At 42.6% G+C, this 17,669-nt stretch overlaps 2 protein-coding genes across 2 annotated transcripts; both read right to left on the reverse strand.

Annotated features, from left to right (window-relative positions):
- Positions 1 to 274: 274 nt before the first annotated feature.
- Positions 275 to 2,581, reverse strand: PRR23A (proline rich 23A). Its single transcript, NM_001134659.1, has one exon. It carries the CDS (start codon positions 2,579 to 2,581, stop codon positions 1,781 to 1,783), a length of 801 nt encoding a protein of 266 aa, NP_001128131.1. The 3' UTR covers positions 275 to 1,780.
- Positions 2,582 to 15,343: 12,762 nt separating this feature from the next.
- Positions 15,344 to 17,239, reverse strand: PRR23B (proline rich 23B). Its single transcript, NM_001013650.2, has one exon. It carries the CDS (start codon positions 16,972 to 16,974, stop codon positions 16,177 to 16,179), a length of 798 nt encoding a protein of 265 aa, NP_001013672.1. The 5' UTR covers positions 16,975 to 17,239; the 3' UTR covers positions 15,344 to 16,176.
- Positions 17,240 to 17,669: the final 430 nt, after the last annotated feature.

Consider the following 17,669-nt stretch of genomic DNA (forward strand, 5'->3'; position numbering starts at 1 on the left):
TTTTTTTTAAATTTAGGTGGGTGTGGGAGTGCGCACCTGTAGTCCCAGTTACTTGGGAGGCTGAGGCAAAGGATCTCTTGAGCCCACTCATTGTGCCACTGCACTCCATCCAGGGTGACAGAATGAGACCCTGTCTCCAATAAATAAACAAATAAAGAAATAAATAAAGAACAAATATCACAATCATATGATGGATACTGGAATCTTTAGAAGAAATTTACTACACATATTTATGTCATCTCGAAAATAAAGTTGAGAAAAAAACTGGAGAATATGAGGTAGTTATGTAAATTTAATTGTCCAGAAAACAACATAAACATTGCTTATTTATATCTATACATATATATATGTATATGTAGCTTTCATATATTGACTAGAATGATATCCATCAACTTTGTGTCATGATGTGAATCCCCTGGGAATGGGGGAGAAGAGTGGGGATCAAAGGATATGACAACATTATCTGTAATATTTCCTTTCCTTTATAGTTAAAAAGACATTAAGGAAATAATACTAAGAAATAACGACTGCCAATTCAGGGTGATGGACTCAAGAGCATGAAAAAAACTCTCAAAAATAAATTAGACCAAATGTCCATGCGGTGAAGGTGAGTGAGTACCCCTGAGAGGAAATCAAGATGAAGCCCACACTGCCCTGAAATTCAGGAATACCCATTGGTTAAAGTACATAGAATATGTCATTGTACAAGATGCTGCTGGAATGAAAGTGTCACAACTTCCTACTTTCCCTCATTAAATATTGCTTTCACTAATTTTTAAATTGTTTTTTCGTTTTCTTTTTTTTTTTTTTGAGATGGAGTCTCACTCTGTTGCCCAGGCTGGAGTGCAATGGCACGATCTCGGCTCATTGCAACCTCTGCCTCTCAGGTTCAAGCACTCCTCCTGCCTCATCCCTGCTAGTAGCTGGGATTACAGGCACACGCCACCATGCCCGGCTAATTTTCGTATTTTTAGTAGAGACGGAGTTTCGCCATGTTGGCCAGGCTAGTCTCGAACTCCTGACTGCAGGTGATCCACACGCCTCGGCCTCCCAAAGTGCTGGGATTACAGGCGTGAGCCATCGCGCCCGGCCCTTAAATTCTTATTTGCAGAAACACTTCCAAAAGGTCCAGTGCATTCATTACATTTGAATGTTGTTTGTTTACTATCTAATCTAATATGCATTTATCTTGATTGTCCAGGTCCAGGAAAAGGAGTTAAGGAGAGCAAGTGGAAAATAAAATCAGTGGTCAGAAGCACCTCAGAGGATGTTGGGAGAAATCGTATAGGTAAATTCCTAACTGCAAAAAGAAGGAAAGACAATGATCTGGATTGGAGAGAACGGATAGGTGTATGGAAGTGATAAAAAAAAAGGGGGGAATTTTAAAGAAAACTGAAGGGAGCTTTAAGCAAGAGTAGGGGTGAAACTGAGGATACAGTTGGCTGAAGGTGACAAAGGCAGAAGTAACAGCTCCTGCAGCAAAGGCAAGGGATCTGAAAATCCATGACTGGTTATGTGTGGTCTACTCTTCTTGGTAAAGGTGCTTACCAGAATCTGCTTTTCTTTTTTCATGTCCTTGCCTGCCACTTACCAAGGAATTCTGCCAAAAAACCAACCAGCCAGCCAGCCAACCAACCAACCCACCCAAACAACAGTAATCCAACTGCCCGCTGTCGATGAATGAAGATGCTGCATTTCCGGGCTGTGGCAAGTCCTCACAGTGAGTCTTGGAGGATCCACAAGAACCCGCAGCCGGTGGCAAGGGATTGTGGGAAGCAGTTCATTCCTGGAACAGTCGTCTGCGGGCCTTGCACGGAGGGCGTTTCGGGAGCGGCGGGTGCGCGTGGGGACCTGGACTCCCCACGCGCGGAGAGGGAGGTAGAGGTTGGAGAGGTGAGCTGGGGACAGGCTCCAGAAGGCGGAATTCCGGGTCGAAGAAGGGGCCTGGAGAGTGTCCCTCTGAACTGGGGTTGGGGGCCAGAGCACAGGGTTCTGGGATGGGGCCCTCCCGGTAGGGGCTGAACATACTTCTGGCGGAGGAGTAGAGCCCAGCGGCTGAGCCGGCTGCGGAGTCCATCTGGAGCTCCGGAAACTCGGGGTCCGCGTCCTCCTCGTAGGCCTCTTCCTGGGCGGCGATCTCTGGGACAGATGCGCAGAAGACTTCCTGCTCAACGACGACGTCCTCCCTGAGAGCGCCCAGGAAAACGTCCACTTCCAGCCCAGCAGACGAGTCGTCCTGCGCTCCTGAGCGTTCGTCGACAGAGCTCAGGAGGACCTCTGGGATCAGGATGAGGGTGTGTCCATCGAGAGACACTCGCAGGATCGACGTTGGCGGGAGCTCCAGCACCAGGTCGACGTCGTCCAGGGGCACACGCAGGGCACAGCCCGCGGCCAGGACCACTATGGAGGTGAGCGCGCCCACGGCCGGGGTACCCGCCGGGTCTTCCAGGCTGGGCGCCACGCGGGGTTCGGGGCCCGCGGGCTCCTCCAATCGGAGGCGCTTGGCAGGGCCGGGTCCTCCTGGCTGCTGTCCCCACCAGGGCGCAGGGAAGGCGCTGGGGCTGCGGGGCCGGCTGCCCATAGCCTCGACGGCGCTCTTGGGCCTAGCAGAGGACGTAGGGAGCGCGGGCAGCGAAGTCCTTTTTGAGGTAACAGGTGTCGGTGCTAGGCGAGGCGGGTTGGGGCGGAAGGGGCGAAGGACCGCGCGGCGCGGGGAGAGTCCTGGGAGCTCCAGGGGCGCCTCCCGGAGACCGCAGTCCGTGCTGCTGAGAGAGCCTCGCGCGATGGAATCTTGGGCCTTCCTGGCGCAGACCCGGATGCACGTCCGATGACTAATAACGTGGGACGTCAGGTGACCTCGGCGCACCAGGATGTGTCAATATAGGCCCCGCCTCCCGACAGTGCTCTGCGGTAGGCGTGGCCTAGAGATGATTGGATCAATTAGAACAAGAGCGAGGTGCGGAGGTGGGGAGGTGGGGAGGTGGAGGGGTGTCTTTGTGTCTGTAGGGGAAGGTTCCTTGGATGTGCTCGTGGGACCCAATGGCGGTAATTGCTTTTATCTTGGTTAAGAAAAGAAAAGCCAAAACACAATTTCAAAAACTGCTTGCTTACTTTTATAAGTAGCTTACGTCTCAATGTCTCTTCTAAGATTTTCCAGGAATATATGAAAAAGAGCTTTAACTCATACTCACTGCTCTTTCCCCACCCTTCCTACGTGGTTCTAAAAAGTTCTTTCATTTCTGATAGAAAGTAGAAATGAAAATTTTGCTTTGATAAGTAAACTTTAATTTTTGTGGGTACATAGTAGGTATATATATTTATGGGTTATATGAGATACTTTGATACAGGCCTGCAATACGTAGTAATCACATCATGGTAAATGGGGTATCCATCCTCTCAAGCATTTATCCTTTGTGTTACAAACAATCCAATTATACTCTTTTAGTTATTTTAAATTGTACAATTAAATTATTATTGACTATAGTCACCCGGTTCTGCTATCGGATACTAGATTTTAATTCATTTTTTCTATTTTTTTGTACCTATTAACCATTTCTATTTGCCCCCACCCTCACTACCCTTCCCAGCTTCTGGTAACCATCCTTCTACTCTCTCCATATGTTCAATTGTTTTAATTTTTAGCTGCCATAAATAAGTGAGAACACGAGAAGTTTGTTTTTTTGTGCCTGACTTATTCCACTTAACATAATGACCTCCAGTTCCATCCATGTTGTTGCTAATGACAGGATCTCATTCTTTTTTATGGCTGAATAGTACTCCATTGTGTATATGTACCACATTTTCTTTATCCATTCATCTGTTGATGGATAGTTTGGTTGCTTCCAAATCTTGGCTATTGTGAATAAAACTCCAATAAACATGGGAGCACAGATATGTCTTCAATATTCTGCTTTTCTTTCTTTTGATTATGTACGTGGCAGTGAGATTGCTGGATCATATGGTAGCTCTATTTTTAGATTTTTGCAGAACCTCCAAACTGTTCTCCGTAGTGGTTTTTACGAGTTTACATTCCCACCAACAGTGTACGAGGGTTCCCTTTACTCCAAATCCTTGCCAGCATTTGTTATTTCCTGTCTTTTGGATAAAAGCCATTTTAACTGGGGTAAGATATCTCACTGTAGTTTTGATTTGCATTTGTCTGATGATCAGTGATGTTGAGCACCTTTTCACATAGCTGCTTGCTATTTGTATGTCTTCTTTTGAGAAATATTTATTCAGTTATTTTGCCCATTTTTATATTGGATTATTAGATTTTTTTTCCTTTAGAGTTGTTTGAGCTTCTTATGTATTCTGGCTATGAATCCCTTGTCAGATGAGTAGTTTGCAGATAATTTCTTTCATTCTCTTCTGTTTGTTGATGTTTCCTTTGCTGTGTAGAAGCTTTTTAACTTGATGTGATCCCATTTGTCCACTTTTGCTTTAGTTACCTGTGCTTGTGGATTATTACTCAAGAAATCTTTACCCAGATCAAAGTCCTGGAGAGTTTCCCCAATGTTTTGTTATAGTAGTTTTATATTTTGAGGGTTTTTTTTTTTTTTTGACAGAGTTTTGCCCTTGTTGCCCAGGCTGGAGTGCAATGGCGCGATCTCGGCTCACTGCAACCTCCGCCTCAGGGGTTCAAGCGATTCTCCTGCCTCTGCCTCCTTAGTAGCTGGGATTACAGGTGTCAGCCACCATGCCTGGCTAATTTTTTTTTGTATTTTTAGTAGAGATGGGGTTTCACCATGTTGGCCAGGCTGACCTCGAACTCCTGACCTCAGGTGATCCACCCGCCTTGGCCTCCCAAATCCTCTGCTGGGATTACAAGCATGAGCCACTGCACCCGGCCATATTTTGAGGTCTTAAATTTAAATATTTAATTCATTTTTATTGATTTTTGTATATGGTGAGAGATGGGGTCTAGTTTCAGTCTTACGCATATGGATATCCAGTTTTCCCAGCTCCATCAATTGAAAATCAGGATATTGAAGAGATATCTGCTCTCCCATGTTTGTTGGAGTATTATTCACAATAGCCAAGATTTGGAAGCAACCTAAGTATCCGTCAACAGAGGAACGGATAGAGAAAGTGTGGTACATATACACAATGGAGTACTATTCAGCCATAAAAAGGAATTAGATCTTGTCATTAGCAGCACTGAGTAGAGATAGAATGTGTTGGCCAGGGGTGGTGGCTCACACCTGCAATCCTAGCATTTTGGGTGGTCAAGGTAGGCAGATTACTTGAACAATTTAAAAAATTATTATTAAAAAAGAGATATAATGTGTTTGCCATATTTTTCTGCTGTTCTATTTCATCTGTTGTGTTTTTTCTTTTTTTCTTTTTTTTTTTTTGAGATGCAGTCTCGCTCTTTTGCTCAGCCTGGAGTGCAGTGGTGCAGTGGTGTGATCTTGGCTCACTGCAACCTCTGGGTCCTGGGTTCAAGTGATTCTCATGCCTCAGCCTCCTGAGTAGTTGAGATTATAGGCGTGTGGGATTATAGCCATGCCTGGCTAATTTTTGTATTTTTAGTAGAAATGGGGTTTCACCATGTTGGCCAGGCTGGTCTTAAACTCCTGACCTCAAGTGATTTGCTCACCTCGGCCTCCAAAAGGGCTGGGATTACAGGTGTGAGCCACTGCTCCTCGCCCCCGTGTATGTTCTTAGCAGCTTTGTTGAAAATGAGTTCACTGTAGATGTATGGATTTGTTTCTGGGTTCTCTATTCTGTTCCATTGGTCTATGTGTCTGTTTTTATGCCAATACATGCTGTTTTGGTTGCCATAGCTTTGTAGTATAATTTGAAATCAGGTAATGTGATTCTTCCAGTTTTATTCTTTTTGCTCAGGTTAGCGTTGGCTTTCTGGGTCTTTTGTGGTTTCATAAAAATTTTAGGATTTTAAAAAAAATTTCTGTGAAGAATGCCATTGGCATTTTGATAGGCATTGAATTGAATCTGTAGATTGCTTTGGGTAGTATGGACATTTTTAACAATATTGAGTCTTCCAATTCATAAACATGGAGTATTTTTCCACTCTTTTGTGTCCTCTTCAATTTCTTTCATCAATGTTTTATAGTTTTCATTGTAGAGATGCTTCACTTCTTTGGTTCAGTTAATTCCTAAGTATTTAATTTTATTTGTGGCTATTGTAAATGGGATTACTTTTTTGATTTTTTCTTCAGATTGTTCATTGTTGGCATTTAGAAATGCTACTGATTTTTGTATGTTGATTTTATATCCTGCAACTTTACTGAATTTGTTTATCAGTAGTAATAGTTTTTGTGTGGGGTCTTTAGGTTTTTCCAAACATAAGATCATATAATCTGCAAACAAGGATAATTTGACTTTTTCTTTTCCAATGTGGATGCCTGTTATTTCTTTCTGTTGTCTGATTGCTCTAGCTAGGACTTCCAGTATTATGTTGAGTAACAGTGGTGAATGTGGGCATCCTCGTCTTGTTTCAGCTCTTAGAGAAAAGGCTTTCAGTTTTTCCCCATTCAGTATGATACTAGCTGTGGGTCTGTCACATATGGCTTTTATTGTGTTGAAGTGTGTTCCTTCTATACCCAGTTTTTGAGAAGTTTTTAATCATAAAGGAATGTTGACTTTTATTATATGCTTTTATAGCATGAATTGAAATGATATGGTTTTTATCTTTCATTCTGTTAGTATGATGTATCACATTGATTGATTTGCATATGTTGAACCATCCTTGCATCCCTGGGATAAATCCTAGTCGATCATGATGAATGATCTTTTAAATATAATGTTGAATTTGGTTTGCTAGTATTTTGTTGAGGATTTTTTGCATCAATATTCATCAGAGATATTGGCCTGTAGTTTTCTTTTTTTGAAGTGTCTTTGGCTTTGGTATCAGGTTAATACTGGCCTCATAGAATGCATTTGGCAGTATTCTCTCCTTCTGTATTCTTTGGAATAGTTTGAGTGTGACTGGTATTAGTTATTCCTTAAATGTTTGGTAAAATTCAGCTGTGAAGCCATTGGCTCTCAGACTTTTTTTTTTTTTTTTTTTTACTGGGAGACTGTTTATGATGGCTTCCCTGTCATTACTTGTTATTGGTCTGTTCAGGTTTTGGATTTCTTCATGGTTTCATCTTAGTAGGTTGTATGTACCTAGGAATTTATAATTTCCTCTGGATTTTCCAATTTATTGGTCTATAGTTGCTCATGATAGCCTCACTAATGGTCCTTTGAATTTCTGCAGTATCAGTTGTAATGTCTCCTTTTTCATCTTTGATTTTATTTATTTGGTTCTTCTCTTTTTCTTTTTTTGAGATGGAGTCTCACTCTGTCACCCAGGCTGGAGTGCAGTGGCACGATCTCGGCTCATTGCAACCTCCGCCTCCTGGGTTCAAGTGATTCTCCTGCTTCAGCCTCCTGGGTACTGCTGGGACTACAGGCGTGTGCCACCATGCCCGGCTAATTTCTTGTATTTTTAGTAGAGATGGGGTTTCACCGTGCTAGCCAGGATGGTCTCGATCTCCTGACCTCGTGATCCATCCATCTTGGCCTCCCAAAGTGCTGGGATTACAGGTGTGAGCCACTGTGCCAGCTGGTTCTTCTCATTCTTAGTTAGTCTGGCTAAAGGTTTATTAATTTCTTTTATCTTTTTTAAAAGCCAGCTTTTCATTTTGTTGATCTTTTGTATTTTTTTTTTCATTTCAATGTCATTTAGTTGTGTTCTGATTTTTATTTCCTTTCTTCTACTAATTTTCAGTTTGGTTTGCTCTTGCTTTTGTAGTTCTTTAGGATGCACTTGCTGGTCGCAGTGGCTCGTGCCTGTAATCCTAGCACTTTGGGAGGCTGGGGTGGGTGGATCACCTGAGGTCAGGAGTTTGAGACCAGCCTGGCCAACATGGTGAAACCGTGTCTCTACTAAAAATACAAAAATTAGCTGGGCCTGGTGGCATGTGCCTGTAATCCTGCTATTTGGGAGGCTGAGACAGGAGAATCACTTGAACCTGGGAGGCAGATGTTGCAGTGAGCTGAGACCGTGCCATTGCACTCCAGCCTGGGCAACAAGAGCAAAATTATGTCTCAAAAAAAAAAAAAGATGTACTGTTAGGTTAATTATTTGAAGTTGTTCTTTTTTGATGTATGCACATATAGCTATGAATTTCCCTCTTAGCACTGCTTTTGCTGTATCCCATAGGTTTTTGTATGTTGTGTTTCCATTATAATTTGTTCGAAGAAAATTTTCAATCTCCTTCTTTTTTCATTGACCTACTAGTCATTGAGGAGCATGTTGTTTAATTTCCACATGTTTGTATAGTTTCCAAAATTATTCTTGTTATTGATTTCTAGTTTTATTCCATGTGGTCAGAGAAGATGCTTGGTATTATTTCAACTTTTATGGAATGTGTTTAGACTTGTTTTGTGACCTAACATACAGTTTATCCTTGAGAATGATCCACATGTTGAGGAGAGGAATATGTATTCTGTAGCCCTTGGATGAAATGCTCTGTAAATATCTATTAGATCCATGTATTCTATAGTGGAGATTAAGCCCGATGTTTCTTTGATGATTTTCTGACTGGAAGATCTGTCCTATGCTGAAAGTGGGGGGTTGAAATCTCCAGCTATTATTGTATTGAGGTTTCTCTGTGTCTTTAGCTCTAATAATATTTGCTTTATGTATCTGGGTACCCCATTGTTGAGTGCATATATATTTAAAATTGTCATATCCTTTTGCTGAATTGACCCCTTTATCATTATATAGTGACTTTCTTTATCTCTTCTTACAATTTTTGTCTTGAAATATATTTTGTCTGATATAAATATAGCTACTCCTGCTCTTTCTTTGGTTTCCATTGGCATGGAATATCTTTTTCCATTCCTTCATTTTTAGTCTATGTGTATCTTTATAGGTGAAGTGTGTTTCTTGTAGGCAACAGATTATTGAGTCTTCTTTTATTTTGTTTTATATCCATTCAGCCACTCTGTGTCATTTCATTGGAATGTTTAGTCCATTTACATTCAGGTTATTATTAATTAGTAATGACTTACTCCTGCCATTTTGTTATTTGGTTTCTGGTTGTTTTGTGGTCTTCTCGTCCTTCTTTCCTTCCTTCTGTTTTCCTTTTAGCGAAGATGATTTTCTCTGGTGGTATGATTTAATTTCTTGTTTTTATTTTTTGTTTATTTGTTGTACGTTTTTCGATTTGAGGTTACCCTGAGACTTGCAAATACTATCTGATAATCTGTTATTTTAAATGGATGACAACTTAACACTCATTTCACAGACAACAAGCAAACTAACAAGCAAAAAAAAAAAACTCATAAAAACTTTACATTAACATTGTCCCTCCACTTTCTTTTTATTTTATCTCTTTGTTGATGTCTTGAAAAGTTGTTATAATTTTTATTTTTGATGGATTCATCATTTATTCTTTCTACTTAAGAATAGTTTACACACCACAATTACAGTGTTATAATATTCTGTGCACTTACTATTGAGTTTTGTATAAGAAATTACCATGGGCTGGGCGTGGTGGCTTACGCCTGTAATCCCAGCACTTTGGGAGGCCGAGGTGGACAGATCACGAGGTCAGGAGGTCGAGACCATCCTGGCTAACACGGTGAAACCCCATCTCTACTAAAAATACAAAAAATTAGCCGGGCATGGTGGCACGCGCCTGTAGTCCCAGCTATTTGGGAGGTTGAGGCAGGAGAATGGCTTGAACCTGGGAGGCAGAGCTTGCAGTGAGCAGAGATGGTGCCACTGCACTCCAGCCTGGGCAATGGAGTGAGACTCTGTCTCAAAAAAAAAAAAAAAAAGAAATTACCAGATAATTTCTTACTGTTCATTGATGTTCTTTTTTTTTTTTTTTTTTTTTTTTTTTTTTTTTTTTTTCCCAGATTGAAGAACTCCCTTTAGCATTTCTTGTAGGACAGGCCTGGTGTGGATGAAATTTCACAGCTTTGGTTTTTCTTTTCTTTTCTTTTTTTTTTTTTTGAGATGGAGTCTCACTCTGTTGCTCAGGCTGGAGTGCAGTGGCACAGTCTCAGCTCACTGCAGCCTCTGCCTCCCGGGTTCAAGTGATTCTCCTGACTCAGCCTCCCGAGTAGCTGGGATTACAGGTGCCCACCACCACACCCAGCTAATTTTTGTATTTTTAGTAGAGACATGTTGGACAGGCTGGTCTCAAACTCCTAACCTCAAGTGATCCGCCTGCCTTGGCCTCCCAAAGTGCTGGGATTACAGGCGTGAGCCACCACACCTAGCCAGCTTTGTTTTTTCTAGGAAAGTCTTTCTCCTTCATGGTTGAAAGATATTTTCACCAGATATACTATTCTAGGGTAAGTTTTTTTTTTCATTCAGTACTTTAAATTTGTCATGCCACTCTCTCTCAGCCTTTAAGATTTCCACTGAAAAGTCTGCTGCTGGAGCTACATTATATGTTATTTGTTTCTTTTCTCTTCCTGCTTTTAGGACACACACACATACACACATACACACACCCAGACACACACACATACACATATATTTTTTAGACGGGGTCTTGCTTTGTCACTTAGGCTGGAGTGTAGTGGCACAATCATGGCTCATGGCTCGCTGCAGCCTTGAACTGCTGGGCTCAAGTGATCCTCCTGCCTCGGTCTCCCAAAATGCTGAGATTACACATATGAGCCACTGCACCTGGCCGGGATTCTTTCTTTACCCTTGATCTTTGGGAGTTTGATTATTAAATGCCTTGTGGTATTTGACAGACATCCTTGCAGTTTAAGATGACACTTTTAAAATAAATTATCTCCTAATGATGACTTGAGCCCTTCCACTCAACAGGAGAATCAGCAGAACCTGTAGGATCTTATTTGGAATTGACATTCTCTATTGTAATTTTGTTCCTATTTATTTTTAAATTTTCTTTTTGTTTCACTGGAAAGGAAAGATGATGCTCAGTTTTAAACATTAAAAGTGTACAAGTTGCGTTGTTACAATAAAACTAAATGTGTACACACACACACAATTTTAAGTTCTTAATTGAAAAATAACAATTGTAATAATTATGGGGTAAAATGCGGTGTTTTCATAAGTGTATAGATTGTGGAATGATTAAATCAAGCTAATCAACATACCCATCATCCACATACCCTTTTTTTTTTTTTTTGGTGAGAACATTTAAAGTCTCTTTTAGGAATTTTGAAGTATATAATATGTAATTGTTTACTCTAGTCATCATGCTGTAAGATAGATCTCAAAAACTTTTTCCTCCTGTCTGACTGAAACTTTGTACCCTCTGACCAACATGTCCCCATTCCCCCCACACCCCTCCCACCTCTGGTAAAGCGCATTATACTCTCTACCTCTATGAGTTTGACTTTTTAGAATTTCACATATAGGTGAAATAATTGTTTTTTTGCTTATTTTAAAAAGATGGCATTATTAATTGAAAAATTCCAAGTCAAAACAGTTGTTTCCCACCAATACGTTGCTGCTATTATTCCACTGTCTTCTGGATTCATTTTTTGCTGCTGAGAAGCCAGTTGTCTAATTGCCTTGTCATTGTAGTGGCCTTCTCTTTTTGCGTATTAAAAAATCTCTTTGACTTTGGTGTTTTGTAGACTTTACAATAATCTTAAATGTGTTTTTATTTTTATTTATCATTTTTGAAAGTTGTTATGCTTCCTTAATGAGGGCACTATACTATGCCCAGAACTATGTATGTTCTTAGAAATATCCTTGTTTTTTCCTCTCTTGGGCACTGAAAGCCTTGCCACCTGTATCTGCCATAGGATCATAAAGATTAATGTACTCATGCCTTTTACACTTGTTCATGGTGGGAATCTGTTCATCTCCCATATCCCAGATTGAAATAATAAAATTCTCAATACATGGCATTACTACCTCCTACCTTTCTCCATTTGTGTTCTTTGATTTTGGATTATGAGCTTAGAATCCCTTTAGGATATCTCCAAGAAGATTTTTAACCCTGGGTATAGGGTATATTCTTTTCAGAGAATGTGAGGAGAGAGTTAGTTTAATTTTTGCCAGGCTCACCGTCTATTAGGGAACATCTTAAACTAAACTCTCAGCTTTTCCTCCTAAAGCAGATTGTGTTTTATTCTACTTGGAGCCAAGACTGATAAATGCAGAGCTGGGACTTTTTTCAGGGCTGCCCACTGGATTTTCTTTTTTCTTTTTCTTTTTCTTTTCTTTTCTTTTTTTTTTTTTGAGTCGGAGTCTCGCTCTGTCGCCCAGGCTGGAGTGCAGTGGCGCGATCTCGGCTCACTGCAAGCTCCGCCTCCCGGGTTCACGCCATTCTCCTGCCTCAGCCTCCCGAGTAGCTGGGACTACAGGCGCCCGCTACCTCGCCCGGCTAATTTCTTGTATTTTTAGTAGAGACGGGGTTTCACCGCGTTAGCCAGGATGGTCTCGATCTCCTGACCTCGTGATCTGCCCACCTCGGCCTCCCAAAGTGCTGGGATTACAGGCGTGAGCCACCGTGCCCGGCGACCACTGCATTTTTCTTTTCCCCATAAATGGGCCATTAAAACCAAAACTCTAGGTAACCATGGATTGTTAGGTACTCTCAAGGAAACTTTTCCTTTAGCACTCACTGGATTCTACCTCTCTGGATTCGTGATTTGTCATCATTTTTGGCTTTGGAGAATTTCTCTTACATTTTGTAAGCTGTGCTTTGACTTTAAAAATATTAAAATAATTTTCTCCATCACTTTCACGAGTGTTGTTTAGAGGATTTTTGGGACTGTTTAGTTTGCATATTGCTGAAGATGGATGTCCTTTGTTACTTCTAGTGCAGGGTATCAGTCTCTTGCAATAGAAGACACAGTTTTGGAAACAGGGCTAACCGTTTCTCTTCAGAATGACCAGATAATTAGGTTGGGTCTTGTGACTGATTAACTGCTTTGTTATAGGGGGAGGACAGAGAGATAATTGAGTTGTGGTGGCAATTGTGGGCAAGATGGTAGTACAGGGGAATTCCATCTACTGAAGGCAGAGAGCATTGCTAGGAAATATTAAACCGTATTACCTACAGATACCTACTTTCAAAAGAAAGATACAAGCTTCCAGGGATCAGAAATGGAGTAGAAAACCCAATCTCTGACTGAGTAGCTGATATTTTGATGACTCATGGTACTGGGACTAAACTATATAATGGCAACTGGGATTTCTGCTCCTTTGAGGGGGCTAAAATTTGGCTCACTGCCAATGTTCAAAGGTTGAAGAGGCACTAACCACTGTTGCATGGTTGTGCCTGTAGTTGATCAAGGAAAGACAAACTGAAACTTGGAATGAGCGTCTGTGTAATTGATTACACCTGTGACTTTCCAGAAAGACAAGTTACAAGAGTTCCAAAGCCCCAATTCTGAATGGTGGTCCTGGGAAGACTAGGAAGTGGAAACTATAAAAATTATAAATATGGGATTCAGAAGATGAATTCCCACCCACAGTGTGCCCACTAATGAAAATTACTAAGCACGAGGCAATCTAATGTGATTAAAAACAAATAATGAGAGATTTTACCTGTGGGGAAATTGAATCAATTTAGCTATTAAAGTTAAAAAATTTTCAAAACATAAATGATGGAATACCTTCCATGAACAAACTAGAAGTTTGTGATACCAAGTGGGAAGTTTTGAAGCAAAAATCTTGAGAAATCCTGAAAAAAAAATTCTTTGAAATGAAAACTTTCTTATAGAACTATAAACAGAATAACAAAAAACAAAACAAAACAAACAGAATATTGTAAGCAGTCAACCAGAGTAGTTAATTGGATTAAAGAATAAAGGAAGTTGGGGCCGGGCGTGGTGGCTCACTTTTGGAGGCCGAGGTGGGTGGATCACTTGAGGTCAGGAGTTCAAGACCAGCCTGGCCAACATGGTGAAACCCCATCTCTACCAAAAATACAAAAAATAGCTGGGTGTGATGGCAAGCATCTGTAATCCCAGCTTCTTGGAAGGCTGAGGCAGGAGAATCGTTTGAACTCAGGAGGCAGAGGTTGCAGCGAGCCAAGATCGGGCCACTGTACTCCAGCCTGGGTGACAAAGCGAGACTTCATCTCAAAAAAAAAAAAAAATACAGGAAGTTCGATTTGATAAGGTGTACATACACTCACAAACATACATGTATATTAAGATATCAAGATGTTATGAGCCAGGGGAGATTGATTGAGCAGTGCCATTATATATCTGATTGGATTTCTTCTTTTCTTTCTTTCTTTCTTTTTTTCTTTTTTTTTGGACAGAGTCCTGTTCTGTTGCCCAGGCTGGAGTACAGTGGCACAATCTCAGCTAACTGCAACCTTCGCCTCCTGAGTTCAAGCGATTCTCCCGCCTCAGCCTCCTAAGTAGCTGGGATTACAGGTGTGTGCCACCACGCCCAGCTAATTTTTGTATTTTTGGTAGAGACGGGGTTTCTCCATGTTGGCCAGGCTGGTCTTGAACTCCTGACCTCGGGTGATCCACCCACCTCAGCCTCCCATCTGATTGGATTTCATGGGGATATAGGCAATATTCCAAGAGATGAAACTTAAGATTTTGTGGTATTTCAGGCAAGAAATAGTTTCCAATATTGATAGTTAACTAAATTCTATCAAGCTAAATGAAAATATAGTCTACCCCTAGACACATTACAGTAAACTGTAGAACACCAAAGGCAAATCAACATTTTAAAAAATATACTAAAATTGGCCAGATGTGGTGGATCACACCTGTAATCCCAGCACTTTGGGAGGTCAAAGTGGGTGGATCACTTGAGCCCAGGAGATCCAGACTAGCGTGGGCAACATGGTGAAACCCCGTTCCTACAAAAAATACACTTGAGCCTGGGATGTTGAAGCTTCAGTGAGCCGTGATTGCACCACTGCACTCCAGCTTGGGCGACAGAGTGAACCCTGTCTTAAAGTCTTTCTCTCTCTACACACACACGCACACACACACACACACACACACACACACGAACAGCCAAATTACATATAAAAGGACTAACAACTTGATTGACAGAAGACATCCTGCAACAACAAAAAATGGCAAAACAACGGGCTAATATCTTTAAAGTACTGTAGTTAAATATCATTTTAAAATTAAGAATGAAGGTGTAATTAAAACATTTACAGTCAATTCTAAGAAAGTTTATCACACAAAAACATGCTCAGACTTACAGAAGCAAGATAGTTTATCACACGTAAGACACAGTGGAAAGAAATATTAAAGGATATTCTTCACAAAAAGAAAACTGAAGCTACAGTGAAGGAGTGGAATGTAAGAATAAAAATGTAGGAAATAATTGGTAAGGCATAGTGGTAGATCTGAATAGTTATTGATGTTTTTAAATAAAATAAAACCAGCTTGTTGACATCAGCTTTACCAGTAATCTTTTATCTCCTATATAAAAATATGAGGCAACTACAGTAATAAACTAACATTTTAAAAGTTAGAAGTTTGGTTTACATGAGAAAAAACTCAGGGTAGATTTTAAAAGGTATAAAATAATGTGGAATAGCAGGAATGCAAACACTTTCCATTGGGTGAAATCACCAGATTAACAAATTAAAAAAAAATACATAACACAATGCATGCTGAAAACATCTGATAAAATTCAACACAAATTTTCATTTAGAATTAGAAGACTAGAAGAAAACTTCAGCAGGATAAGGGGTTCCTAGGAAGAAGCAACATACAGTCTTGTATAGTAAGCATACTATTTGGCAGTTTCCTTGGAGAGCAGTTGGAAAAACCCCAAGAAAAGCCATGGCTAAGTCTTCCAAAATTCATGGGAAAAAAATGCAAGGTAACTAACAACGTAAGAGATCTGGTGATTTCTTGGTTTGGGGAGAAACGGGAGTGGCAGTATGATGCTGGAGAAAGACTGGAATTTGAGAGAAACAACTGATGCAAAACGAGGGAGAATGAAGGGATCTGAATATGACCTTGTAAAGAAGCCCAGAAATCTGGACACATTTTCTGGTATCCTTGCGCAGATTTTCTATTTAAAGATGAGGTCTAGAATATACCTTTTCTTGCTGACGTCTTCATCTCCTACTATCGGTAGTGTGCAGCGAAAAAGCAATTGTCCGAACACGCGGTGCCCAATTTCCAGGTTGTTGGATACTCAATGTGAGAGATTCCCGCAATCCTAGAGGGCCTCCAGCAGAGCGGCCAGGATTGTTGTGTGTACGTGGGGGTGGGGGTCTATGCCTGGAACAGGCGTCTCCGGGCCTTGCACGGAGGGCGTTCCGGGAGCGGCGAGCGCGCGTGGGGACCTGGACTCCCCACGCACGGAGAGGGAGGTAGAGGTTGGAGAGGTGAGCTGGGGACAGGCTCCAGAAGGCGGAATTCCAGGTCAAAGATGGGGCGTGGAGAACGTCTCTCTGAACTGGGGTTGGGGGCCAGAGCACAGGGTTCTGGGATGGGGCCCTCCCGGTAGGGGATGAACATACTTCTAGAGGAGGGGTAGAGCCCAGCGGCTGAGCCGGTTGGGGAGTCCATCCGGAGCTCCGGGAACTCGGGGTCCGCGTCCTCCTCGTAGGCCTCTTCCTGGGCGGCGATCTCTGGGACAGATGCGCAGAATTCCAGCTCGACGACGACGTCCTCCCTGACAGCGCCCAGGAAAACGTCCACTTCCAGCCCGGCAGACGAGTCGTGCTGCGCTCCTGAGCGTTCGTCGACGGAGCTCAGGAGGACCTCTGGGATCAGGATGAGGGTGTGTCCACCGAGAGACACTCGCAGGATCGACGTTGGTGCGGGCTCCAGCACCAGGTCGACGTCGTCCAGGGGCACACGCAGGGCACAGCCCGCGGCCAGGACCACTATGGAGGTGAGCGCGTCCACGGCCGGGTCCCCCGCCGGGTCTTCCAGGCTGGGTGCCGCGCGGGGTTCGGGGCCCGCGGGCTCCTCCAATCGGAGGCGCTTGGCAGGGCCGGGTCCTCCTGGCTGCTGTCCCCACCAGGGAGCAGGGAAGGCGCTGGGGCTGCGGGGCCGGCTGACCATCGCCTCGACGGCGCTGTGGACGGCGCTCCTGGGCCTAGCAGCGGACGTGGGGAGCGCGGCGGTGAAGTCCTCTTTGAAGTAACAGATGTCGGTGGTAGGGGAGGCTGGTTGGGACGAGCGGGGCGCAGGACCGCGCGACGCGGGGCGAGTCCTCGGAGCTCCCGGGGCGCCTCCTGGGGGACCGTAGTCTGGGCTGCTGGTGGTGCCTCGCCGGCCACCGGGCTCAGCTTAGCTCGTTGGACCCTTGGGCCTTCCTGATGCAGACCCGGATGCGCACTGCAAAGCCAATTATGTTGTAAATGACGGCAGCGGAACCGAAGTCGCAAAATGTCACGCAATGCTCCGCCCCCTGGAGGACCCGCTCTAGAGGCGGAGGTATCCGTGCTGTCCAGTATCCGTGGCTATAATTGGTCGGACACGCTGGGGAAATACTCTTACAGGCCTCTAGGGGGCAGAATGATCAGTATAACTTATTCAGAAAAAATGATAACAACTGTAATAGAATTTCAAAGATGGCTCGCCTTTAGAACTCATGTTTTCTTGTGATTTCAGGGATTCTAGAGAAAAGACCACTCAGATCTCTCCGACCCATCCAAATGCTACATACAATTCCTTTAATGCTACTAAATTATTTCATTTTAGGAGTATTCAGAAAATACAGATTTCTACTTGGGAAAATTGATTTTAAAATTCTG

This window comes from Homo sapiens, chromosome 3 (assembly GCF_000001405.40).
Source record: "Homo sapiens chromosome 3, GRCh38.p14 Primary Assembly".
Lineage (NCBI taxonomy): Eukaryota > Metazoa > Chordata > Mammalia > Primates > Hominidae > Homo > Homo sapiens.

What these genes read in the sequence shown, in the direction of transcription:
- PRR23B (NM_001013650.2), bottom strand. Translation starts at nt 16,974, where the DNA reads ATGGTCAGCCGGCCCCGCAGCCCCAGCGCCTTCCCTGCTCCCTGGTGG.
- PRR23A (NM_001134659.1), bottom strand. Translation starts at nt 2,581, where the DNA reads ATGGGCAGCCGGCCCCGCAGCCCCAGCGCCTTCCCTGCGCCCTGGTGG.